Genomic DNA, 26,344 nt, shown 5'->3' on the forward strand with positions numbered 1-26,344 from the left:
GTCGCCATTTCAAGGACGTCCCCACCTGGCTGTCCGTGCAAACCCCAGCCAGGGTCCACCTGCTGCTCCACACAGCCCATCCCTTCTCCGGGCTGAAGCTCCCTCATATGGGACATCCACTACACTGTAGGACCCCAGCCCATGCGTCCCCAAGCCCCGGTCCTGCCTCCTGGGTCCCTGTCCCAGGCCTCACCGCCCTCCCCACCAGCCCCAGCATCACAAACGCTGGGCTTCTCTGCCGCTCCGAATTCTGCTGTGGCTCCCCAGTGCCCAGGGCCATCAAGCCCCAGGTTTTCATGTGGGCCCCAGGGACCCGCCAGCAGGGAGGACCCGAAATGGCACACATTCAGAACGTCGAGGCTCATACCTCAAGCGCACTGTGGGGGAGAAGCCCCCGGAAGCCCCCAACCCCCCACGCGCGAGAGAGCCTCAGTTTCCCGCTCGGTAAAGCGGGCGTATCAGCGGTTCCCAGCCAGCCCGGGTGTGCAGGGTCGGAGGAGCTCGCGGGCTGAGCGCGGCCCCTGGCGCCCGGTTGGCGTGCGGGACTCGGGCGCGCTCTGGTCCGTGGAACTTCCCCAGCCGCGGCGTCCCCGCCGCTCACGCGCCCCCCACTCCACGGCCGGGCACCTCCCGCCCCTCCCCGGGCTGGACCTGCGCCCGGGCTCCGCCCCCTCCCCGCCCCCGCGGCCAATAAAACGCTCCCCGGCGGCTCCTGCGCCCTCAGAGCGGCCCCGGAGCGGCCGCAGCGCGGTGGTCTCGGCCCGGCTGCGCCAGAGTCCGCGCGATGGAGCCCCGGCCGCGGCGGCGGCGCAGGAGTCGCCCCCTGGTCGCCGCCTTCCTGCGAGACCCGGGCTCGGGCCGCGTGTACAGGCGCGGGAAGCTGATCGGCAAGGTGGGAGGCCCGCGCCCCGAGTCCGCGACGGGGCCGGACCGGGCTGGGCTGGGGTCCCGGGGCGCGCGGGCGATCCTGCGCGGTCTACGCGGCGCGTCCCTGCGAGCGCGGGGTCTGGAGCGGGCGCGCGTCCGGAGCCGCGGGGCCTCCCGTGCGGGGTTTCGCATGGCGGGAACCGTGTTGAGCGCGCTGTGCGTCGTGTCCGTGGGTTGCGTGTCCGGGGTGTGGGCGTGCGGCTCGGCCTCGGGATGCGACGCTGTGTTGCCCCTGGGTGTGTGTGCGAGCCTGGCGAGGGTCTGAGTGTGCCGCGTCTGTGCCCGCTGCTTCCAAGTGTCTGGGTGCTGTGCGGTGTTCGTGTGTGTGTGTGTGTGTGTGTGTGTGTGTGTCTGGGTGTTGTGTTGCTTGTTCACCTGTTGTTTGTGCGTCATGCCTTTGTGTGTCCAGTCATTGTGTTGTGTGTCTGGGTGTTGTGTGTTCATGTGGTGTGCTTGTGTGTTTGTGTGTTCATATGTGGTGTGTCTAGGAGTTGTGTGTTCATGTGTTTGTATCTGTGTCTTTGTCCATGTGTTGTACTGTGTGTCCAGGTGTTGTGTGTTCATGTGTTTGTGTGTTCCTGTGCTGTGTCTGGGTATTGTGTTGTGTGTCCACACGTGGTGACTGTGTGTCCAGACATTGTATATTCATGTGTTTGTGTGTTGCTGCGTTGTGTATCTGGGTGTTGTGTTGTGTGTCCATGCATGGTGACTCTGTGTCTGGGCGTTGCGTGTTTGTGTGTCGTATTCAGGCGTGGTGTTGTGCATCCGGTGCTGTCTTCTGGTCCGTGGCCTCTATGCACCAGGCGTGGATGTGTCTGTGTCTGTGTCTCTGTGCCTTCTTGTGTGCATCATGTCTTGTGTGTCCAGGCGGGAGGGTGGGAGCTGTGTGTTGTTTTTTCCCCGGTGTGTGTGTGGAGAGACCTGGACGCGCCTGCGTCCCTGGCTGCCCTGTGCCTCTGTACGCGCTGCCAGCTTGCACACCCGTGCACACCTGCCCACTGATCTGCTGACCCCTCCCCACAGGGCGCCTTCAGCCGCTGCTACAAGCTGACAGACATGTCCACCAGCGCCGTGTTCGCCCTCAAGGTGGTGCCGTGTGGCGGGGCTGGGGCCGGGTGGCTTCGCCCGCAGGGAAAGGTGCGTGTCCCCATCGGTCCCCAGGGCCCACAGTCCGCAGCCCGCAGCGTGTCCCGAAGAAGGCCCTGCCCTTTGGTCCCAGCCCTGGGTGGCCATGAGATCGTACAGGAGGCAGGCGAGCATCCTGCAGCCTGTGCCCCGCTGCAGGCGGGTACATGTCGGGGCCGTGCCTGCAGGTGGAGCGTGAGATTGCCCTGCATAGCCGCCTGCGACCCCGCAACATCGTGGCTTTCCACGGACACTTTGCTGACCGCGACCACGTGTACATGGTGCTGGAGTACTGCAGCCGCCAGGTGCCCAGGGGCGGGGAGAGGGCAGGATTCATGTCAGCTGTGCCCGTCTCTGTCCACCCCGTGTCCATCTGCACCTCGCCGCTGCCCCCCGTACCATCCTGTGTGCCCTCTGCTGTCCATTCGCCAGCGCTTCTTACGCCTACGTAGGGCCAATTGTGTCCATCCTTTACTCACCTGGGCACACCCAGGCTCTCTTGATCCACCTGGGCCCAGCTTACGCTGTGCTCATCAGGCCCGTCTCAGACTCACCTGTGACCGCCTGGGCCCATCAGAATGTGTTTGCTTCTTCTTGGCCCCCTTGGACTCACCCATGCCCACCTGTACCCACCAGCATGCCCCTGTGCCTACCTGTGGTCACCTGCGCCCCTCCTGCACCCTGCTGTGCCCACCGTGGCCGTGAACTCACTGTGCCCATTAAGTAGACCTGAGCCCACCTGGGTCCACCTGTGCCAGAATATGCCCCCTCTGCGTTCACTCCTAATCACCTGGCCCTTCTCAAGCTGACAAGCATGTCCACCAGCGCCGTGTTCACCCTCAAGGTGGTGCCAGGTGCGGGGCCGGGGCCGGGCAGCTGTGCCCGTGGGGAAAGGTTCGTGCCCCCCCTCAGTGGCCACCTGGGCCCATCTGAACCCGCATGCTCCTATTGGGGTGGGTCATCTTTGCTCACCTGTGTGCACCTGCGCTCACCTGTGCTCATCCCATAATCAGCCATACCACCTTGGCCAGGCTGAGCTTACATTTGCCTTCTAATCCGGGGCCGCTGGTCACCCACAGTCTTTGGCCCACGTGCTGAGGGCGCGGCAGATCCTGACGGAGCCAGAAGTGCGCGACTACCTGCGGGGCCTGGTCAGCGGCCTGCGCTACCTGCACCAGCGGTGCATCCTGCACCGCGACCTGAAGCTCAGTGAGTGCCAGGAAGGGGAACTGTGGGCGGGGGCGTCGGGAGGTGGGCACGGATCCACCCCCATGCGCAATGCCCCTCCCACTGCCAGGTAACTTCTTCCTTAACAAGAACATGGAGGTGAAGATTGGAGACCTGGGACTGGCGGCCAAGGTGGGGCCAGGGGGCCGCTGCCACAGGTGAGAGCCGGGGGGAGGGCTCTGAGCAGTCCGTCCGGGTGGGCACGGCTGGCCCTGAAGTCTGGCACGGGGATCCCAGCCTTCCTGAGCCCCCCATGACGCCCTTCCTAGAGTACTCTGTGGGACCCCTAACTTCCTGGACCCTGAGGTTGTCTCCAGAAACGGTCACTCCTGCCAGTAGGACATCTGGGCTCTGGGCTGCATCATGTGAGTGGGGTCCTGGAGAAGGTGGGCAGGGCCTCCGGGGGGGGCAGGTGTGGCGGGGGGGGAGCCTGCACGGAACAGGTGGGGACCGTTGTGCAGGGTGGGGCGCGTGGAACAGGCACCTGTCGCCAAGTGTGCAGTATGAACAGGACGTGTGTGGGGAGGCGTGTGTGAGGGAGGACGGGGGAGGGTGTGCACAGAGAGGTGGACAGGTGTGGGCAGGTGGCAGTGGCACAGGCAGGTCAGGGCGTATGTGTACAGGGATACAGCGTGTGTGGGCGCAGGGCAGGTGTGAGCAGGCATGGGATAGCATTGGAAGGTGGAGGCCAGGCGCAGTGACTCACGCCTGTAATCCTAGAGCTTTGGGAGGCCGAGGCAGGAGGATCGCTTGAGCCCAGGAGTTCAAGACCAGCCTGGCCAAGTTGGTGAAACCCTGTCTCTACAAAAATTACAAAAATTAGCCAGGAGTGGTGGTGTGCACCTGTAGTCCCAGCTATTCAGGAGGCTGAGTTGGGAGGATTGCTTGAGCTCAGGAGGTGGAGACTGCAGTGAGCTGTGATTGCACAACGGCACTCCAGCCTGGGTGACAGAATGAGACCCTGTCTTTAAAAAAAAAAAATAGAAGCATTGAAAAGGTGTATGCAGGTGAGTTCAGGGTGAGCCAGGTGCAGGCAGGGGATGGACAGACGCTGGTGTCCACCAAGCAGGGTCCATGGGACTGCACAGGGTGCCAGGTGCAGGCAGGGGATGGACAGACGCTGGTGTCCACCAAGCAGCGTGCATGGGACTGCACAGGGTGCTAGGTGCAGGCGGATGTTGGGAGATGAGGAAGCCGATATGGGTTGCACAGCTAAGCTGTGTAGGCAGGTCTGGCCAAGTGTGCAGGGGTAGCTCTGAGCGATGCCTGGACACCCAGGTTCTTGCCCCCCACCTGGCCCAGGTACACGGTGCTGACTGGCACCCCACCCTTCATGGCCTCACCCCTGTCGGAGATGTACCAAAACATCCGTGAGGGCCACTACCCCGAACCCGCTCACCTGTCTGCCAATGCGCGCCGCCTCATCGTGCACCTCCTAGCACCCAACCCGGCCGAGCGGCCCAGCCTGGACCACCTGCTGCAGGACGACTTCTTCACACAGGTGGGCGGCGGTCCTCGGCGTGGGGTCCCTGGCGTGGGGTCCCTGGCAGGTGATGAGCCAGAGCCTGCCCTGCTCAGCCGAGGGAGGCCCCGCCCTGTCCCAGGTAACCCAGGTGCTCAGGGGCTGGGTGACCTAAGCCGGGGATAACCCCAAATCCCCATCCAAAGGGTTTCACTCCAGACCGGCTGCCGGCCCACTCCTGCCACAGTCCCCCCATCTTCGCCATACCCCCGCCTCTGGGCAGGATCTTCCGGAAGGTGGGCCAGCGGCTGCTCACCCAGTGCCGGCCACCCTGTAAGTACCACCCCCGCCCACACCTGCCCAACACCTGCCCACGCCTCCCACCTGCCCACACCTCCCACCTGCCCACGCCTCCCACCTGCCCACACCTCCCACCTGCCCACGCCTCCCACCTGCCCACGCCTCCCACCTGCCCACGCCTCCCACCTGCCCACGCCTCCCACCTGCCCACGCCCCCCACCTGCCCACGCCCCCCACCTGCCCACACCTCCCACCTGCCCACACCTCCCACCTGCCCACACCTCCCACCTGCTCACACCTCCCACCTGCCCACACCTGCCTACGCCTGCTACCTGCCCCCACCTGCCCACACCTCCCGCCTGCCCACACCTCCCACCTGCCCACAACTGCCACCTGCTCCGCTCTGTCTCCACATCAGGGGTGGGTGTGGGTGGCAGGTGCCCCCCTACCCCCAGCTTGGGGCCCAGGCTGTGCCCCCTCCAAGGCCTTGTGCCTCCCTCAGGCCCCTTCACGCCTAAAGAGGCCTCGGGTCCAGGAGAAGGTGGGCCAGACCCTGACTCCATGGAGTGGGACGGCGAGGTGAGACATCGGGGTGGGGGACACGGGGAGACACAGGTGGAGGGCATGCTGGCCCCTGCTAAAACCCCCTCCCCCATGCCGGCTTCTCTGAACCCCTTCTGGGGTCTCCAAGCCCGGCCCCCTCCCCCTAGTCCCGTCCTGACGCATCAGAGCTGGGATCCATTTGTGTCCAAATGTGCCCACCTGGGCTTTCCCAAGGGCCGGGCTCGAGGCCATGGGAAGGGTCCCATCCATGGCTTCAGTCCATCACATTTATTGAGCACCTACTGTATGCCTCCGAGACACTCCGAGGCTGCCTCCCAAGGGGAAAGCAGTGCCTCTGTGTGCAGAGCACGGAGGGCACAGGCAGGGGCCAGAGCCTGCCACCCACCTCACGCCTGTCCCTGGGGCTGGGGCCGGGGCCACCCCCACCCCTGCTGCTCCCACCTCAGAGCTCCCTGTCTGCGAAAGAGGTTCCCTGCCTGGAAGGCCCCATCCACCTGGTCGCACAAGGGACCCTGCAGAGTGACCTGGCCGGTGAGCAGATCCCCGTCCCAGCCCGGGGCTGCAGGTGGGGAGGGAGGAATTACAAGTGACAGGGGGACCAAGGCCGTGGCTTACCAGGGTCACAGCCGCCGTCCCGGCCTCACCTTTCCCGCCTGTCAAATGGGAATGCCGCCTCTGGGTTGAGGATGAGATGTTCCTGGATGGAGCCGTGGGGAGGGGGACTGGTTGGAAGAGCCTGGTGGTGGGAACCCAGACCTGTCTGCGGCACAAAGACCTGTCTTCCCAGGGCCCGAGGGGAGCCGGCGGCCAGAGGTGGAGGCGGCCCTCAGACACCTGCAGCTGTGCCTGGATGTAGGCCCCCCGGGTAGGAGCCGGCCCAGCCCCCAGGATCACCTTTACTCTTACTAGCCAAGTAAAATTGCCTTCATTCCCATCCTGGGCCCTCCTGGGTATTTCTGGGGGTGAGGAGTAGGGGTGAGGGAGGCCCCAGGACACGGTGACATCAGGAGAGTGGGTTAGCCCTCCTGTGTGCAGAGCCTGGCACGGAGGGCTCTGCGGCAGCCTTACGTTTCACGGTCTCTTAAATTCATGACCCGGGCTCGTTAGAGACCCAGTGAGTGAGGAAACGTGACCTGGGACGTTGGACACAGAGCCCTGTGCCCACAGGCCACACTCCAAAGGGGGACCCCTCTTATCCCCAGTGTCCCAGAACCCAAACCCTCTTCCTCTCCCCTCCTCTCCCTGAGCCTCCACTGACCCACACATACTGCCACCCTTAGAGAGGGAGCCCCAAACCCCACGCCAGGTCTCCAGCCCAGAAGCCTTTTCTTTTCCTTTTCTTTCTTTTTTTTTAAGAGACGGAATCTCACTCTGTTGCCTAGGCTGGAGTGCAATGGTGCCATCTTGGCTCATCACAACCTCCACCTCCTGGGTTCAAAGCGATTCTCCTGCCTTAGCCTCCCGAGTAGCTGAGATTACAGGCGTGTGCCACCACACCTGCTAATTTCTGTATTCTTTTAGTAGAGACAGGGTTTCACCATGTTGGCCAGGCTGGTCTCGAACTCCTGACCTCCGGTGATCTGGCCGCCTCAGCCTCCCAAAGTGCTGGGATTACAGACGTCGTCAGCCACCACGCCTGGGCGCATTTTTTTTTTTTTTTTTTTTTTTTTTTTTTTTTGAGACGGAGTCTCACTCTGTCGCCCAGGCTGGAGTGCTGTGGCGTGATCTCGGCTCACTGCAAGCTCTGCCTCCCGGGTTCACGCCATTCTCCTGCCTCAGCCTCCCCAGCAGCTGGGACTACAGGCACCCGCCACCATGCCCGGCTAATTTTTGTATTTATAGTAGAGACGGGGTTTCACTGTGTTAGCCAGGATGGTCTCGATCTCCTGACCTCGTGATCCGCCTGTCTCGGCCTCCCAAAGTGCTAGGATTACAGGTATAAGCCACCGCGCCCAGCCTCAGGACCCCATCTCTACAAAAAAATGAGCCGGGCATGGTGGTGCATGCATGTTGTCCCAGATACTCAGGAGGCTGAGGAAGGAGGATCACTTGAGCTCGGAGGTGGAGGCTGCAGTGAGCTGAGATCGTGCCACTGCACTTCAGCCTGGGCAACAGAGCGAGACCCTGTCTGAAAAGCCAACAGACAAACAAGCAAAAACCCAGAAACGGGGCAGGGCGTGGTGGCTCATGCCTGTCATCCCAGCACTTTGGGAGGCTGAAGCAGGTGGATCACAAGGTCAGGAGATCGAAACCATCCTGGCCAACATGGTGAAACCCCATCTCTACTAATAACACAAAAATTAGCTGGGTGTGGTGGCACGTGCCTGTGATCCCAGCTACTCAGGAGGCTGAGGGAGGAGAATCGCTTGAACCCAGGAGGCGGAGGTTGCAGTGAGCCGAGATTGCGCCACTGCACTCCAGCCTGGGGACAGAGCAAGACTCTGTCTCAAAAAAACAAAACAAAACAAAACAAACAAAAACACACACACCCAGAAATGTGTAGTATTTTCAGAGCATTGCAAGTATTTGAGAATTGCTCATTCCCAGGGGTGCGCCAGTATCCCACAGTCTCCCTCTGCAAGCCAGAAATTAGTTACGGTTCCGTGGCTTCTGTTGATGTCTGGTCTCCTAGAATCCACCACCGAAGCCCCCAAGCCTCTGTCCGGTCCCCGCCGTGGGAAGGGTCTCACCCATGGTTTCAGTCCATCACATTTATTGAGTGCCTACTATATGCCTGACCCCTGACCCCTGGCTCAGCATACCTTTGTTTGTGCCCAGCCACACAGGACCCCCTGGGAGAGCAGCAGCCCATCCTCTGGGCCCCCAAATGGGTGGATTATTCCAGCAAATACGGCTTTGGCTACCAGCTCTTGGACGGGGGGCGCACGGGACGGCACCCACATGGCCCTGCGACCCCCCGGAGGGTAAGTTGTGGCCTCCTGTGCCCTGGGGGACCAGGCACTCCCCCTGCCTTTTTTCATTCATCTCTCAAGTATTTATTAAGCACCTACTGTGCACACCTACAGGTGCTCCCTGCCTGGTCGGGGAGAACAACACTAAACGAATCAGCAAGTGCGTTTCTGTAGTAAATGAACCCAGTGAAGAGGCAGATTAGGAGGGGAGGTGAATCTCAGTAGTGTGGGTAGGGGGAAGGGGAAGGGGTCTCTGAGAAAGTGACGTGAATGACAAGCGGCAGCCCTGTGCTTTGGGAGGCCAAGGCAGGATTCCTTGAGCCCAGGAGATCGAGATCAGCCTGGACAACATAGCAAGACCCCATCCCTACAAAAATTTTAATAATTAGCTTGGTGTGGTGGCACACACCTATAATCCTGGCACGTTGGAGGCTGAGGTGCGGACTCGCTTGAACCCAGCAGTTTGAGATCAGCCTTGGCCTCATAGCAAGACCCCATCTCCACAAAAAAATTAAAAATTAGCTGGGCGTGGTGGTGCACACCGGTAATCCTGGCACTGTGGGAGGCTGAGGTGGGAGAATCACTTGAGCCCAGCAGTTTGAGATCAGCCTGGGCCACACAGCAAGACCTTTCTCTACAAAATTTTCTTCTTTTTTTTTTTTTTTTTTTGAGATGGAGTCTCACTCTGTCACCCAGGCTGGAGTGCAGTGGCGCAATCTCGGCTCACTGCAAGCTCCACCTCCCGGGTTCACACCATTCTCCTGCCTCAGCCTCCTAAGTAGCTGGGATTACAGGTGCCCGCCACCACTCCTGGCTAATTTTGTATTTTTATTAGAGACGGGGTTTCTCCATGTTGGCCAGGCGGGTCTCGAACTCCTGACCTCAGGTGATCCACCCGCCTCAGCCTCCCAAAGTGCTGGGATTATAGGCATGAGCCACCGCGCTCAGCCACTCCTGGCTAATTTTTTGTATTTTTAGTAGAGACGGGGTTTCACTGTGTTAGCCAGGATGGTCTCGATCTCCTGACCTCGTGATCTGCCCGCCTCGGCCTCCCAAAGTGCTGGGATTACAGGCGTGAGCCACCGCGCCTGGCCAAGTTTTTTTTTTTTTAAATTAGCCAACTGCAAGGGTATGCATCAGTAGGTCCCAGCTACTTGGATGGCTGAGGTGGGAGGATCACTTGGTCCCAGGAGGTCAAGGCTCCAGTGAGCCATGATTGCACCACTGCGCTCCAGCCTGGGTGACAGAACGAGACTCTGTCTCTTTTTTTTGAGACGGAGTTGTGCTCTTGTTGCCCAGGCTGGAGTGCAATCTCGGCTCAGCGCAACCTCCCCATCCCGGGATCGGGGTAGCTGGGATTACAGGCACCCGCCACCACGCCTGGCTAATTTTGAATTTTAGTAGAGACGGGGTTTCTCCATGTTGGCCAGGCTGGTCTCGAACTCCCGACCTCAGGTGATCCTCCCACCTGGACCTCCCAAAGTGCTGGGATTATAGGTGTGAGCCACCGCGCCCGGCCTTAACACAATCTTTCTAGCGGGAGTGACATGGGGGCCAGTGGGGAGGTGGCTGGACTCATCAGGTGGGCAGTGGCGGAGGCCTGGGCTGTGCTGGTGACCGGGGAGGGATGAGAGGGGCTGCAGTGTGGATAGAGTTGGAAGGCAGGAAGGGTGGACCAGCTGTCAGCTGAGGTGAAGAGAGGACAGAGAGCCGCACTGGGCATATGGATAAGGTGTAACTAGGGCAGAGCTGCTCTTTAAAGCCACCATTCCAGGGGGTGTAGGTCAATGGAAGGGTGTCCACTGGCCTGGGCTGTCCAGGACAGAGGCCCTGTGTCCTGGCCCCAGCCAAGTGTGCTACATGCCCAACTGCGGGAGGCTGGAAGCCTTCGCCCTGAGGGATGTGCCCGGCCTGCTGGGCGCCAAGCTGGCCGTGCTGCAGCTCTTTGCCGGCTGCCTGCGGCGGCGGCTGCGGGAGGTGAGAGCTGGGGTGCTGGGTGTGGGGGCGAGGGGTGGGGACGCCCCCTGCGTCACGTGACCTCAGCCGAGTCTGTCCACAGGAGGGGACCCTCCCCACACCTGTGCCACCTGCTGGACCCGGCCTCTGCCTCCTGCGCTTCCTGGCCTCTGAGCACGCCCTGCTGCTGCTGTTCAGCAATGGGATGGTGCAGGTGAGCCCGGGGCTCAAACTCGGGGCACTGGGGCTCGGCAGGGTGGGGTCTGGCCTGCCTGGGCTGTTACGGAGCAAGCTTTGGGGGAGCCTTAGGAAGCATTTGCCTCCCAGGAAAAAAAAAAAAAAAAAAGGTATTGGCTCCTGCGTACAAAACCACAGCATGGAAAATGCATGACGTTTTTGGGCCAGGCACTGTGGTCCACACCTCTAATCCCAGTGCTTTGGGAGGCCGAGGCGGGCAGATCGCAAGGTGAAGAGTTTGAGACCAACCTGACCAACACGGTGAAACCCCATCTCTACTAAAAATACAAAAATTAGCTGGGCGTGGTGGAGCCTTCCTGTAATCCCAGCTACTCAGGAGGCTGAGGCAGGAGAATCGCTTGAACCTGGCAGGCGGAGGTTGCAGTGAGCCGAGATCACGCCACAGCACTCCAGCCTGGGCGACAGAGCAAGACTTCGTCTCAAAAAAAAAAAAAAAAAGGCCGGGCACGGTGGCTCACGCCTGTAATCCCAGCACTTTGGGAGGCCGAGGTGGGCAGATCACGAGGTCAGGAGATAGAGACCATCCTGCCTAACACGGTGAAACCCCGTCTCTACTAAAAATACAAAAAAAAAAAAAAAAAATTAGCCGGGCGTGGTGGCGGGCGCCTGTAGTCCCAGCTACTGGGGAGGCTGAGGCAGGAGAATGGCGTGAACCCGGGAGGCGGAGCTTGCAGTGAGCCGAGATCGCGCCACTGCACTCCAGCCTGGGTGACAGAGCAGGACTCTGTTTAAAAAAAAAAAAAAGTCAGGGTCTTGCTGGAAGACTGTGGGCAGGGGAGCCCCCATCTGAGCCTCAGTTTCCCCAGGTGTACAGTGGAGCACTTGGCCTCCCGACCCCGAGTTCCTGTGGCTGGGGCAGGCACTAGGGGCCAGACTGGGGGCTCTGGGTCCAGTGTCCACTTGTCCTTCTGGAGCGCCACGGCTGGAGGCAGGTGCAGGGGTACCCGTCTCCCCTTGACTGGTATCTTACCCTTTGCAGGTGAGCTTCAGTGGAGTCCCGGCCCAACTGGTGCTGAGTGGCGAGGGTGAGGGTTTGCAGCTCACCCTCTGGGAGCAGGGGTCCCCTGGCACCTCCTACTCCCTGGACGTCCCGCGGAGCCACGGCTGCGCCCCCACCACCGGACAGCACCTTCACCACGCCCTCCGCATGCTGCAGAGTATCTAGTGCCCCTGAGGGTCAGAGTGGACCCCTGCATGGTAGTGCCAGGGACCCAGGCTCCATTTCCATTCCTGTGGCTCCCCCAGAGGGGCTGTCCTGGGGGAGGGCTGGGGGGCACACGGGAGGTGGGTTCTTGCCTTGTGGCATGACTGTTCAACCCAGACTTTGCTGGGATCTCTTCCTTTTTCATTAAAGACAATTTGAAATGCTGTAGGCCATGGTCTGCCTCTCTTTGGGGGAAAGCGTTTGAGGAGCTTTGGCAAAGAAACGTTGACCCCACGTGACGTTGCATCCTCCCTGTTTCTCTTAGTGGCAGAGGTGGGTTACATTTTCACTAATGCAGACATTAGCACCAGAGGCCAGTGTAGTGGCTCATGCCTGGAATCCCAGCACTTTGGGAGGCCAAGGCAGGAGGATCGCTTGGGCCCAGGAGTTTGAGACCAGCCTGGGCAACATGGCAAGACCCCATCTCTACAAAAAATTAGCTGGGCATGGTGGCACGTGCCTGTAGTCCCAGCTACTTGGGAGGCTGAGATGGGAGGATGGCGTGAGCATGGGAGGTTGAGGCTGCAGTGAGCTGTGATTGCACCACTGCACTCCAGCCTGGGCGACAGAACAAAGACCCTGTCTCAACAACAACAAAAGTAGTACCAGAAGTGGGGTTCTGCCATAACTCCAAATCTAAAACATGGGACAGTTGCTTAATGGGTGGACAGGAAAGAAGCCGACACTGAGGCTGGAAAGATGGCTGGCTATGCTCCGGGACACAGTTGGCACAACCGTCACCTGTGCTGCCCTGGGGTGGACGGTGCACTCATGGACCTGACCTCTCTGGGCTGATGGAGCATTGGTTGTTAGATCAAAATGTCATAAAAGGCCAGGCGTGGTGGCTCACACCTGTAATCCCAGCACTTCGGGAGGCCAAGGCAGGCAGATCACTTGAGCTCAGGAGTTCGAGACCAGCCTGGCCAATATGGTGAAACTCCGTCTCTACTAAAAATACAAAAATTAGCTGGGTGTGGTGGTAGGGGGCCTGTAGTCCCAGTTACTCAGGAGGCTGAGGCAGGAGAATCACTTGAACCCAGGAGGCAGAGGTTGCAGTGAGCCGAGATTGCACCATTGCACTCCAGCCTGGGCAACAGAGCGAAAATCCCTCTCAAAAAAAAAAAAAAAAAAAAAAACTGGACGCAACCTAAGTGTCCAGCGGTGCGAGACTCAAACATCTGGCCATCCCCTGGGATGAGTGAGGCTGGGAAAGTGGGAAGGCTCACGGGAGGCATTAAGGCAGGCCGAGGGGTGCAGAGCTGATGACGGAAAAACCCGTCAATCGCAGAAGGACTCCAGGCCCCTCAGTAGCTCTTTTGTTTTTTTTGAGACAGAGTCTTGCTCTGTCGCCCAGGCTGGAGTGCAGTGGTGCGATCTCAGCTCACTGCAACCTCCGCCTCACGGGTTCAATAGATTCCTCTGCCTCAGCCTCCTGAGTAGCTGGGATTACAGGCATGTGCCACCACGTCCGGCTAATTTTTGTATTTTTAATAGAGACAGGGTTTCATTTGTTTGTTTGTTTGAGACGGAGTCTCACTCTGTCGCCCAGGCTGGAGTGCAGTGGCACGATCTCGACTCACTGCAACCTCCGCCTCCCGGGTTCACGCCATTCTCCCGCCTCAGCCTCCCGAGTAGCTGGGACTACAGGCGCCCGCCACCAAGCCCGGCTAATTTTTTTTTTTATTTTTTAGTAGAGACGGGGTTTCACCATGTTAGCCAGGATGGTCTCGATCTCCTGACCTCGTGATCCGCCTGCCTCGGCCTCCCAAAGTGCTGGGATTACAGGCGTGAGCCACCGTGCCCAGCCTAGAGACAGGGTTTCACCATGTTGGTCAGGCTGCTCTTGAACTCCTGACCTCAGGTGATCCTCCCACCTCAGCTTCCCAAAGGGCTGGGATTACAGGCATGAGCCACTGTGCCTGGCCCCCTCATTAGCACTTGAGGCCACAATTCTCAGTGCGAGGCTCCTGGGCTGTGCTTTGGGCGTCTGCTAAGGTGCTCAGAGGTGTATCCTATGCTGGAGAAAACTCCACCTCGACCGATGCGGGATCAGGAGACCGGGGCTCCAGTCCCAGCTGGCCACTTCCAGGCACATCCAGGCCTCAGTTTCCCTGCCTGTTTAAGGGGGGCATGTATTCTCTGGAATCCCTGCCAGCAGCATGATTCTGCATGAAGTTCTACTTCCAAGTTCCGGTTATCAACCCCAGAAACTCATCATAAAAGAGGGAGAAGTGGCTCATGCCTGTAATTCCAGCAGGCTGGGAAATTGAGGCAGGCGGATCACTTGAGGACAGGAGTCTGAGACCTGCTTGGGCAACATAGGAAGACTCTGTCTCTACTAAAAATTTAAAAGCCAGGCCTGGTGGCACATGCCCGTGGTCCCAGCTACTCAGGAGGCCCAGGTGGGAGGATTGCTTGAGCCCAGGAGTTCGGAGGTACAGTGAGCTATGATTGCACCACGGTACTCCACCACTACTCTGGGTGATAGAGCAAGACCCTTTCTCAAAAAATAAAAATAAAAAATTGGCTGGGTGCCGTGGCTCACGCCTGTAATGCCACCAATAGACAGATCACCTGAGGTCAGGAGTTCGAGACCAGCCTGGCCAACATGGTGAAACCCTGTCTCTACTAAAAATACAAAAATTAGCTGGGCGTGGTGGTGAGTGGCTGTAATCCCAGCTACTTGGGAGGCTGAGGCAAGAGAATCGCTTGAACCCAGGAGAGAGAGTTTGCAGAAGGCGCCACTGCACTCCAGCCTGGGCGACAAGAGTGAGACTTCGTCTAAAAAAGAAGAAAAAAGAGAGACATTCCTGGAGGTGCGCACAAAAGGGCATCATTGACATCTGGAGTGCAGTGGCATGATCTCGGCTCACTGCAAGCTCCGCCTCCTGGGTTCACGCCATTCTTCTGCCTCAGCCTCCCGAATAGCTGGGACTACAGGCGCACGCCACCGTGCCCGGCTAATTTTTTGTATTCTTAATAGAGACGGGGTTTCACCGTGTTAGCCAGGATGGTCTGGATCTCCTGACCTGATCCGTCCGCCTTGGCCTCCCAAAGTGCTGGGATTACAGGCGTGAGCCACCACGCCTGGCCACCTTAGCCTCTAGAATAGTAGTAGTTCTCGGCCGGGCGCTGTGGCTCATGCCTGTAATGCCAGCACTTTGGGAGGCCAGCGTGGGCGGATCACGAGGTCAGGCGTTCAAGACCATCCTGGCCAACATGGTGAAACCCCGGCTCTACTAAAAATACAAAAATTAGCCAGGCGTGGTGGTGTATGCCTGTAATCCCAGCTACTCGGGAGGCTGAGGCAGGAGAATCACTTGAACCGGGGAGTCAGAGGTTGCAGTGAGCCAAGATTACACCACTGCACTCTAGCCTGGCGACAGAGAGACACTCCGTCTCAAACAAAAAAAAAAAAAAAAAGAAAGAATAGTAGTTGTTCTCAATGGTGGGGGGGGGGGTGATTCTGTCCCCAGGGGACACTGGGCTATGTCTCGGGACATCTGTGGTCATAATGACAGGGAGTGCTCCTGGCATGGAGTGGGTGAAGGGCAGGGACGCCGCTCAGCACCCTGCAATGCCCAGGACAGCCCCACCCCAGAGAATGGCTTGGCCCCAACATCCATAGTGCCCAAGAGGAGAGACCCTAGCTTGGACATAGGAACTGAAATATTTACAGGCTTAGTGTTTAATTCCTAAAGCGGATTTCCTCTGTAATCAGGGAAAAAAAAAAAAAAAAAAAAAGGAATGAAGTGGAGAAACGGCACTCCCGGGAGACGTTGCACATTCCCAAGCCCACGCTGCACCTCACACGCAGCGGGGAGCAATGTCCCCGTAGTGGCCCCTCGTCAAGGTCAGTGATGCACGGGGCGAGAGAGGGGTTGAGGTGGGGATGGCCTCCTGCCAAGCACAACGTGTCCTGGGGCCACCCATCTGCAGGCAGAGCGCTCCACCACTCAAATGGGGGCGTGATGAGTCCGAGGCCACCCAGGTCTGAAGCTTCCCAGGGGCCCTCCTCACAGCCCTTTCCCTTTGGAACCATAGTCTATCAATTCTGAAAGTAAAATGCAGACTTTTCTTTTTTTTCTTTTCTTTTTTTTTTTTTTGAGACAGGGTCTCACTCTGTAGCCCAGGCTGGAGTGCAGCGATGCCATCTTGACTCACTGCCCCCTGTGCCTCCCGGGTTCAAGCGATTCTCCTGACTCAGCCTCCCAAGTAGCTGGGATTACAGGCATGCGCCACCACACCCGGCTAACTTTTGTATTTTTAGTAGAGATGAGGTTTCACCATATTGGTCAGGCTGGTCTCGAACTCCTGACCTGTGAGCCTCCCGCCTTGGCCTCCCAAAGTGCTGGGATTACAGGCGTGAGCCACTGCACCTGGCCTCCTTTCTTTTTCTTTCTTTCTTTCTTTCTTTCTTTTTTTTTTTTTTTTTTTTTGAGACAGAGTCTCACTCTGTCGCCCAGGCTGGAGTGCAGTGGTGTGATCTCAATTCACTGAAAGCTCTGCCTCCGGGGTTCAAGCAACTCTCCTGCCTCAGCCTCCTGAATAGCTGGGACTACAGGCATGTGCCACCATGCCCAGATAATTTTTGCATTTTCAGTAGAGACGGGATTTCACCATGTTGGCCAGGCTGGCCTTGAACTCCTGACCTCGGGCAATCTGCCCACCTCAGGCTCCCAAAGTGCTGGGATAACAGGCATGAGCCACCGCGCCTGGCCCATTTCTTTTATTTTTATTTATTTATTTTTTTTTTTGAGATGGAGTCTCACTCTCTCGCCCAGGCCGGAGTGCAGTGGCCGGATCTCAGCTCACTGCAGCCTCCGCCTCCTGGGTTCAAGCAATTCTCCTGCCTCGGCCTCCTGAGTAGCTGGGACTACAGGCGTGTGCCACCACACTTGGCTAATTTTTGTATTTTTAGTAGAGACGGGGTTTTACCATGTTGCCCAGGCTGGTCTTGAACTCCTGACCTGAGGCAATCCACCCGCCTAGGCCTCCCAAAATGCTGGGATTACAGGCGGGAGCCACTGCGCTTGGTCTGGATGCCGTTTCTTTGTCACAAAATTGCAACCTTAACAAATCAAACTCAAGTCCCAGGGTCCACCACCACCTGTCCCTGGGCCCCCTCTGTTTCTGGGAAGTGACAGGGTCTCCTCTTTTTTTCCCATCTGTTTCCTATGCTTACTTTCCTGGAGAGAATAACTGACCCATGGCGGCATCCCCGCGTCGCCTCTCGGCCGTGTGCCTGTGTGTGTTGCTGCGTCTGTGGAGATAGAGCCAACTCTGTGCTTTTTATGGAACGGGGGATGAAGCAAAGCCAGCGTTTGTGGATGGGAGAGAAAATACGACCAAAACAGACACTGGGGCCCATGTTGGGAGTAGAGAGGGCTGCAGGCACGCTGGGCTGGGGTGGGGGGAGGAAGCAGGGGGACGGGTCAGGGGAGGTCGTGTGCCTTGGTGTGGCCAGACCTAGGAGGAGGGATCAGTGGGGAGAATTTGGAGATGCCCCCAGGGACCCCAAAGGAATGGAGTGTGGGTGAGAGAGGAACAAAAGCAAGCAGAGAAAACACAGAGCAAGTGCATCACTGCCTTTAAAAACAAAATGAGCCGGCCGGGCGTGGTGGCTCACGCCTGCATTCCCAGCACTTTGGGAGGCTGAAATGGGCTGCTCACCTGAAGTCAGGAGTTTGAGACCAGCCTGGCCAACATGGTGAAACCCCGTCTCTACTAAAAATACAAAAATTAGCCACCTGTGGTGATACACACATGTAGTCCCAGCTACTCGGGAGGCTGAGGCAGGAGAATGGCGTGAACCCGGGAGGTGGAGCTTGCAGTGATTGAGTGATTGGAGATCACGCCATTGCACTCCAGCCTGGGCGACAGAGCGAGTCTCCATCTCAAAAAAAAAAAAAAAAAAAGTTTGTTGTTATTGCAAGACACCAAGTTGTTGTTGTTGTTCTTCTTCTTCTTCTCCTTCTTCTCTTTCTTCTTCTTCTTTTTTTTTTTTTTGAGACAGTTTCTCTCTGTCGCCCAGGCTGGAGTACAGTGGTGCAATCTCAGCTGACTGCAACCTCTGCCTCCCGGGTGCAAGCGATTCTCCTGCCTCCCGAGTAGCTGGGATTACAGGCATGCACCACCATGCCTGGCTAATTTTTGTATTTTTAGTAGAGACGGGGTTTCACCATGTTGGCCAGGCTGGTCTCGAACTCCTCACCTCAGGTGATCTGCCCGACTCTGCCCCTCAAAGCGCTGGGATTACAGGTGTGAGCCACCGCGCTCGGCCTCTTCTCTTTTTTTATAGAGAGAAGGAGTGTCGCTCCGTCACCTAGGCTGGACTCAAACTCCTGGTCTCAAGCAACTCCCCCGTCTCAGCCTCCCAAAGCACTGGGATTACTGTGAGCCACCGTACCTGGCCCAGACACCAAATGTGAAGGTAACTTGTGACCCGGCAATAGCTAACTAATACACAACCCAAAACATGCAAGAAACAGCTTCATTTCTGCCCGGAACATTTGTTTCCAGGGAGAAAAAGACAAAACATCTTCAGAGTGTTTAACTGGGTGTCTTGCAAAATGACCTACCTAGAGTATTTATTTCCATCTGCTTGTGGGCGTCAAGAACAGCAACAATCTGTGCCGTCTCCCACGCCCCGAGCCCACAATGGTGGTTTATTAAAAATAAACCAACCACAGAATATATTAATTTTCTAACCTCCCGGGCCAATTCTTATTTCTAGGTATAAGAACTTCCAGAGATGGCAAAGCACCCACACCGCCCTCGTGCTAAAGTTTCTGGAATCTTCCTTAGACGGGTGAACTGTGTGCTGCCAGAAATAAAATTAATAGCCTCACTTTTTTGGGTGCTTACAAGGGTTGGAACTTCAAGAAATGGTCATGAATTCACTCCAGCCCTGGCTCAAAGATTTTTTTTTCTTTCTTCCCTTCTTCTTCCTTCTTCTCCCTACTCCCTTCTCTTCCTCTTTCTCCTCCTCCTTCCTTCTCCTTCTTTTTCTTTTTGGAAACCACTGATTTAACCCTGAGAGAGGGAAAACTTGTCCTGGCAAGAATTTCCAAAGCTCAGTTTTATTTTTTAAGACAAAGTCTCGCTCTTGTCACTCAGGCTGGAGTGCAGTGGCGTGCTCTCGGCTCACTGCAGCTTCCGACTCCCTGGTTCAGGAGATTTTTCTCGTGCCTCAGGATCCCAAGTAGCTGGTACTACAGGCGTCATCATGCCCGGATAAATTTTCTACTTTTAGTAGAGACGGGGTTTCACCATGTTGGCCAGGCTGGTCTCGAACTCCCGACCTCAGGGGATCCACCCGCCTCGGCCTCCCAAAGTGCTGGTATTACAGGCGTGAGCCCCAGCGCCCGGCCCCAAAGTTCCGTTTTACCCTTTTTCCCACGCTGAGGCTACAGCTGAACCCAGCCTCCAGACCACCTCCTCATTGGTCTATGGGAGCACGTGACATCATGCGTCCTCCAATCACCAGCAAGCAAGCAAGGCGTGGGCGGGACCAAGGGCGGCTACCTCTGGGGCCAGCAGGATTGGCTGTTGCCCGTGGTAACTGTGTGTGACGTCATAAAGCTTCCTTGCACCTTGGCAAGGCCCCGGGAGCAGGGACCTTTTCTCTCCCACTATACAGATGGGGACACTGAGGCGCTGGTTCTCAATCTATGAAAAAATGGGGTGCTGGTAGGTAGGTCAACCTGGGTCCCACGGGGAGTTTTCAAACTCCTGATGACTCCAGAGAATTACGCTGAGTGAAAAAAGCCTGTCCCGGCCGGGCGCGGTGGCCCACGCCTGTAATCCCCGCACTTAAGGAGGTCGAGGCAGCCGGGTCACAAGGTCAAGAGATCGAGACCAGCCTGGCCAACATGGTGAAACCCCATCTCTACTAAAAATACAAAAATTAGCCGGGCGTGGTGGCGGGCGCCTGTAGTCCCAGCTACTCGGGGAGCTGAGGGAGGAGAATCACTTTCACCACGGAGGCGGAGGTTGCAGTGAGCCTAGATCACGCCACTGCACTCCAGCCTGGGTGACAGAGTGAGACTCCGTCTCGGGAAAAAAAAAAAAAAAAAAAAATTAGCCGGGCATAGTGGGGTGTGCCTGTGGTCCCAGCTACTCAGTTGGCTGAGGTGGGAGGATCACCTGAGCCCAGGAGTTCCAGACCACCCTGGGGAACATAGTGAGACCCCATCTCTATAAAAAATTAGAAAATTAAGGCCAGGCGCGGTGGCTCACGCCTATAATCCCAGCACTTTGGGAGGCCGAGGCGGGCGGATCAGGAGGTCAGGAGATCGAGACCATCCTGGCTAACACGGTGAAACCCTGTCTCTACTAAAAATACAAAAAATTAGCCGGGCGTGGTGGCGGGTGCCTGTCGTCCCAGCTACTCGGGAGGCTGAGGCAGGAGAATGGCGTGAACCCGGGGAGACGGAGCTTGCAGTGAGCCGAGATGGCGCCACCGCACCCCAGCCTGGGCGACAGAGCAAGACTACGTCTCAAAATAAATAAATAAATAAATAAATAAATAAGCCAAGGATGATGATGCACACCTGTAGTCCTAGCTGCTTGGGCGACTGAGGCAGGAGGATGCCTTGAACCCAGGAGTTCATGTAGGTTGCAGTGAGCTGTAGTTGCACCACTGGAGTCCAGCCTGGGCAACAGAGCAAGACCCTGTGTAAAGAACAAAAAAAGTTTATGTAACATTTTAGAAATGGAATTAGGGTTAGGGATGAGGGTGCGGGGAGGGTGCACAAACAGCAAGAGATCCTGATGGTGATGGAAATGCTCCATGTCATGATGGTGGATACACGAATCTACCCAGGCCAGCAAATTATAGGAGACTAAAGACATCTCACACACTCACACACACGATCACAAGTTAAACTGAGGAATCCTGAGTAAGATTGATGGATTGTATCCATGTGAAATCTTACTTATATGTTTTTTAGAGATGGAGTGTCCTTAATGCACCCCAGGCTGGAGTGCAATTTTGTGATCTCAGCTCACTGCAGCCTCTGGGGTTCAAGCGATTCTCCTGCCTCAGCCTCCGGAGTAGCTGGGATTACAGGCGCCCACCACCACGCCCGACTAATTTTTGTATTTTTAGTAGAGATGGGGTTCCACTATGTTGGCCAGGCTGCTGTCGAACTCCTGACCTCGTGATTCACCTGCCTTGGACTCTCAAAGTGCTGTGATTACAGGCGTGAGCCACCACACCCGTTTTTGTTTTGTTTTGTTTTGTTTTGTTTTTGTTTTGAGATGGAGTCTCACTCTGTTGCCCAGGCGAGAGTGCAGTGGTGTGTTCTAGGCTCAGTGCAACCACCGCCTCCCAGGTTCAAACGAGTCTCCTGCCTCAGCCTCCCGAGTAGCTGGGACTACAGGTGCCCGCCACCACGCCCGGCTAATTTTTTGTTGTTGTTGTATTTTTGGTAAAGAGGAGGTTCCCCATGTTGGCCAGCCTGGTCTCGCACTCCTGACCTCAGGTGATCCACCTGCCTTGGCCTCCCAAAATGCTGGGATTACAGGCATGAGCCACAGCACTCGGCCCTTCCCTCCTTTCTTTCTGAGACAGGGTCTTGTTCCGTCACCCAGACTGGAGTGCAGTAGCAGGATCACAGCTCAATGCAACCTAGAAGAATTCCTGTCGTCCTGTGCTCATGAGATCCTCCCTCCTCTTGCAACTGCATATGAATTGACAATTATTTCAATAAAATTTTCAATTAAAAAATTATGAGGGCTGGGTGCGGTGGCTCACTCCTGTAACCCCAGCACTTTGGGAGGCCGAGGCGGGCGAATCACGAGGTCAGGAGTTCGAGACCATCCTGGCTAACACGGTGAAACCCTGTCTCTACTAAAAATACAAAAACTAGCCGGGCGTGGTGGCGGGCGCCTGTAGTCCCAGCTACTCGGGAGGCTGAGGCAGGAGAATGGCGTGAACCTGGGAGGCGGAGCTTGCAGTGAGCCGATATCACGCCACTGCACTCCAGCCTGGGTGACAGAGCGAGACTCCATCTCAAAAAAAAAAAAAAAAAAAAAATTATGGTCCAGGAGCGGTGGCTCACGCCTGTAATCCCAGCACTTTGGGAGGTCAAGACGGGCAGATCACCTGAGGTCAGGAGTTCGAGACCAGCCTGGCCAACATGGTGAAACCCCGTCTCTACTAAAAATACAAAAATTAGCCGGCCATGGTGGCAGGTGCCTGTAATCCCAGCTACTTTGGAGGCTGAGGCAGGAGAATCGCTTGAACCCGTGAGGCAGAGGTTGCACTGAGCTGAGATCGCACCACTGCACTCTAGCCTAGGTGACAGAGCAAGCCTCTGTCTCAAAAAATAAAAAGAGAAAAAAAGAAAAAAGCCAAGAAAGTGGAGTCTTTTCTGCCCTTGAAAGGGTAGTGGTAAAACTCTCTGGGTGGTGTGGGGTGTCCAGGTATCTCTCTGTCGCCCCTAACACTGGGCGAGACTGGATCTGTTTTGCATAAAGGAAGAACACATTTCTGTGTCCCCTGCCAGTCATCCATGCAATCATCAATTTCGTTGTTGTTGTTGTTGTTTGAGATGGACCTTCCCTCTTGTCGCCCAGGCTGGAGTGTAGTAGCATGATCTCGGCCCACTGCAACCTTCACCTCCCGGGTTCAAGCGAGTCTCCTACCTCAGCCTCCCGAATAGCTGGGATTACAGGTGTGCGCCACCACACCCGGCTAATTTTTGTATTTTTAGTAGAGACGGGGTTTCACCATGTTGGCCAGGCTGGTCTCGAACTCCCGACCTCAGGTGATCCGCCCGCCTCGGCCTCCCAAAGTGCTGGGATTACAGGTGTGAGCCACTGCGCCCGGCCAATCAGCAAATATTTAATGAGCCCCCACTGCGTACTAGCGCTGAACTACTGGGCGAGGGTCGGCCAGCGGCAGGAAAACGGGGAAACAGGTGCGCCCGTTTGTGCGCGGGGGAAGCTCGCAGCCACGAGCGAAGGGACCTGTGTCTCCACTTTGGACAAATCTCCCGGGAATTTCCCGGGGGTTCAGAGCTCCGATGTCGGGGCGGGGAGGGGCAGGGTGTCATGTGCGGCGCTGGCCACACGGTGGCGACAGAGAACGTGCCGTTCTGGTCCAGCCTGGCGGCTGTGGGGTCGAAATGGGGAAGGAGTTGGGGTCGCGATGGAGTCGGGGAGGCAGTGGGGTAGGAGCGAGGGCCCCCTTTTTTTTGGAGACAGAGTTTCTCGTTGCTCAGGCTGGAGTGCAATGGCGTGATCTCAGCTCACCTCAACCTCCTGGGTTCAAGCGACTCTCCTGCCTCAGCCTCCAGAGTAGCTAGGATTACAGACATGCACCACCACATCCGGCTAATTTTTGTATTTTTAGTAGAGACGGCTTCGCCATGTTAGGCAGGTCTCGAACTTAGGACTTCATGTGATCCATCTACCTCGGCCTCCCAAAGCGCTGGGATGACAGGCGTGAGCCACCACGCCCAGCCGAGACAGCCTACCCACTGTGGGCTTTGGCAATAAGGCGCTCAATCAATTATAATAAACACCTATGGAATTAATTCCCGTCTGTGTTCCCCAAACCGTCCTCCCCAACCCCCACCGCCGCCCAGTAATTCAGGGACCACAAGAATGGAGGTCTCTGGCTTATAACTCTCACTGAGAAGCCTGATGCAGGAGCTCACACCTGTAATCCCGGCACTTCAGTAGGCCAAGGCAGGAGGATACTACTGAGCCTCGGTAATGTATTGTTTTTTATTTTTTTTATTTTATCATATATATATTTATTATACTCTAAGTTCTAGGGTACATGTGCATTCTCAGCAAACTATTTTTTCTTTTATTTTTATTTATTTATCTTTTTATTTTTGAGACGGAGTCTCTCTCTGCCGCCCAGGCTGGAGTGCAGTGGCGCGATCTCGGCTCACTGCAAGCTCCGCCTCCCGGGTTCACGCCATTCTCCTGCCTCAGCCTCCCGAGTAGCTGGGACTACAGGCGCCCGCCACCACGCCCAGCTAATTTTTTGTTTTAGTAGAGATGGGGTTTCACCGTCTCGAACTCCTGGCCTCATTGATCCTCCCACCTCGGCCTCTGAAAGTGCTGGGATTCTAGGCGGGAGCCACCGCGCCCCGCCAAGGCTGGGTAATTTATAAACAAAGGAGGTTCCTGGACTCACAGTTCTGCATGGCTGGGGAGGCCTCAGCAAACTTACAATCACGGTGCAGGGGGAAACAAGCGTGTCTTACCTGACTCAGGCGAAAAGAGAGGAAGGAAGAGCAGGGAAAACTGCCTTATAAAACCATCAGATCTCGTGAGATCTCACTCACTATCAGAGAGCAGCACGAGGGAACCGCCCCCATGATCCAATCACCTCCCACCTGCTCCCTCTCTCCACACGTGGGGACCATGGAGATTACAACCGAGATGAGATTTGGGTGGGGACCCAGAGCCAAACCTCCTCAGGACCTCTGTCCCCCCTCCTCTCCTCCCACTGCCTCTGGGCACGCTGGCACCCCTGCCTCCTCTTCCCTGGTTGGTCTTTGGTGAGATGTGTGTCCATTGGTCCCAGAACCTGGCGTTGCCCAGGCTGGAGTGCAGTGGGGCGATCTCGGCTCACTGCAAGCTCCGCCTCCCCGGTTCATGCCAGTCTCCTGACTCAGCCTCCCGAGTAGCTGGGACTACAGGCGCCCGCCACCACGCCCGGCTAATTTTTTGAATTTTTTAGTAGAGACGGGGTTTCGCCGTGTTAGCCAGGATGGTCTCGATCGCCTGACCTCGTGATCTGCCCGCCTTGGCCTCCCAAAGTGCTGGGATTACAGGCGTGAGCCACCACACCCGGCCCAAGACCCTGACTCTTAAAAAATAAGGCCAGGCCAGGTGGCTCACACCTATAATCACAGCATTTTGGGAGGCCAAGGCAAGTGGATCGTTTGAGCTCAGGAGTTGGAGACCAGTCTGGGAAACATGGTGAGACCTCGTCTCTATTAAAAACACAAAAAATTAGCCAGGCACAGTGGCACATGCCTGTAATTCCAGCTACTCAGGAGGCTGAAGCAGGAGAATCGCTGGAACCCAAGAGGTGGAGGTTGCAGTGAGCTGAGACTGTGCCACTGCACTCCAGCCTGGGTGACAGAGCAAGACTCTGTCTCAAGAAAAAAAAAAAAAAAAAAAAAAAAAAGGCCAGTCTCAGTGGCTCACGCCTGTGATCCCAGCACTTTGGGAGGCTGAGGTGGGTGGATCACCTGAGGTCAGGAGTTCGAAACTAGCCTGGCCAACATGGTAAAACCCCGTCTCTACTAAAAATACAAAAACTAGCCGGGCGTGGTGGCAGGTGCCTGTAATCCCAGCTACTCAGGAGGCTGAGGCAGGAGAATCGCTTTAGCCCCGGGAGGTGGAGGTTGCAGTGAGCCGTGATCAAGCCAGTGCACTCCAACCTGGGTGACAGAGCAATAACCTGTCTCAAATAAATAAATAAATAAATAAATAAATAAAATTCAAGCTTAGTAGAATAAAAAATTCAGCTTCCCAGTTGTCCTCGCATTTCAGGTGACAAATCATGCACAGCTGGTGGCTTTGTATCACACAGTGCAGATTTAGACCATTCCCATAATCGTTTTCATCATTGTAGAAAGTTCTATTGAACAACGCTGGGCTAGAACATTCTAGAAGATTCTAGAAAGCTCCAACACAGGAGCCAGCAGCCACCTGAGGGTAATTACATTTAAATTTAGACTTAAATTCTGTTGGCTGGTGAAGTCCAGCACATGCTGGTTTGGTTTTTTTTTTTTTAGGGGTGAGGTAGTTAGACTGCAGCAAAAACAGGGGCTCCCATCACAGTTCTGTGCAGGGGGTGAGTGAGACTGAAGAAACCAAAGACCATATCCCAATTCACTTTCTGAAATCATCTCCCGTTATTTTCACCTGTTCTCTGATTACTCTTTGTTCCCTGCGTGTGCCCTGTCATCCCACCTCCACACCTTTGCCATACTGTCTCCCTTTGACCCCCACATCCAACCAGCCCTGTCTAGCCTTCTGCAGCATCCCCAAGCAGAATTCACTGGGCAGAATTAATCTCTCTCTCCTCTGAACTCCTGATTCACCCATCCATCCACCCATCCCCCTTCCTGTCCACCCATCCACCCATCCATCCATCCAAGCATCCACCCACCCATCCACCCATCCAACCATCCACCCACTCATCCACCCACCCACTCATCCACCTGTTCACCCATCCACCCATCCATTCATCCATCCAACGATCCACCCACCCATCCATCCACGCATCCATCCATCCGTCCATCCATCCAACCATCCAAGCATCCACCCACCCATCCATCCATCTCCAACCATGCACCCACTCATCCCTTCATCCATCCATCCATCCATCCATCCATCCATTTACCCACCCTCCCATCCATCCACTCA

At 56.5% G+C, this 26,344-nt stretch overlaps 1 protein-coding gene across 1 annotated transcript, besides 2 other annotated features; it reads left to right on the top strand.

Annotated features, from left to right (window-relative positions):
- The first annotated feature begins 722 nt into the window (after positions 1-722).
- On the top strand, positions 723-12,692 carry PLK5 (polo like kinase 5 (inactive)). Its single transcript, NM_001243079.2, has 14 exons — positions 723-892; positions 1,951-2,064; positions 2,241-2,357; positions 3,132-3,261; positions 3,350-3,437; positions 3,549-3,644; positions 4,582-4,780; positions 4,948-5,074; positions 5,544-5,620; positions 6,052-6,136; positions 6,393-6,470; positions 8,384-8,529; positions 10,577-10,687; positions 11,711-12,692. Coding segments are annotated over exons 6-14 (1,011 nt in total). The 5' UTR covers positions 723-892; positions 1,951-2,064; positions 2,241-2,357; positions 3,132-3,261; positions 3,350-3,437; positions 3,549-3,642; the 3' UTR covers positions 11,897-12,692.
- Positions 22,793-23,193: a transcriptional cis regulatory region, noted in NCBI's record as "candidate enhancer chr19.367 targeted for multiplex CRISPR interference". NCBI's record gives its function as "positively regulates JSRP1 gene expression with high confidence in K562 cells {active_cell/tissue: K562}" and the evidence as "EXISTENCE:mutant phenotype evidence [ECO:0000015][PMID:30612741]".
- Positions 24,153-24,353: a silencer, noted in NCBI's record as "peak3222 fragment used in MPRA reporter construct". NCBI's record gives its function as "represses an SCP1 promoter by STARR-seq MPRAs in K562 erythroleukemia cells {active_cell/tissue: K562}" and the evidence as "EXISTENCE:reporter gene assay evidence [ECO:0000049][PMID:32103011]".

Source organism: Homo sapiens, chromosome 19 (assembly GCF_000001405.40).
Source record: "Homo sapiens chromosome 19, GRCh38.p14 Primary Assembly".
Lineage (NCBI taxonomy): Eukaryota > Metazoa > Chordata > Mammalia > Primates > Hominidae > Homo > Homo sapiens.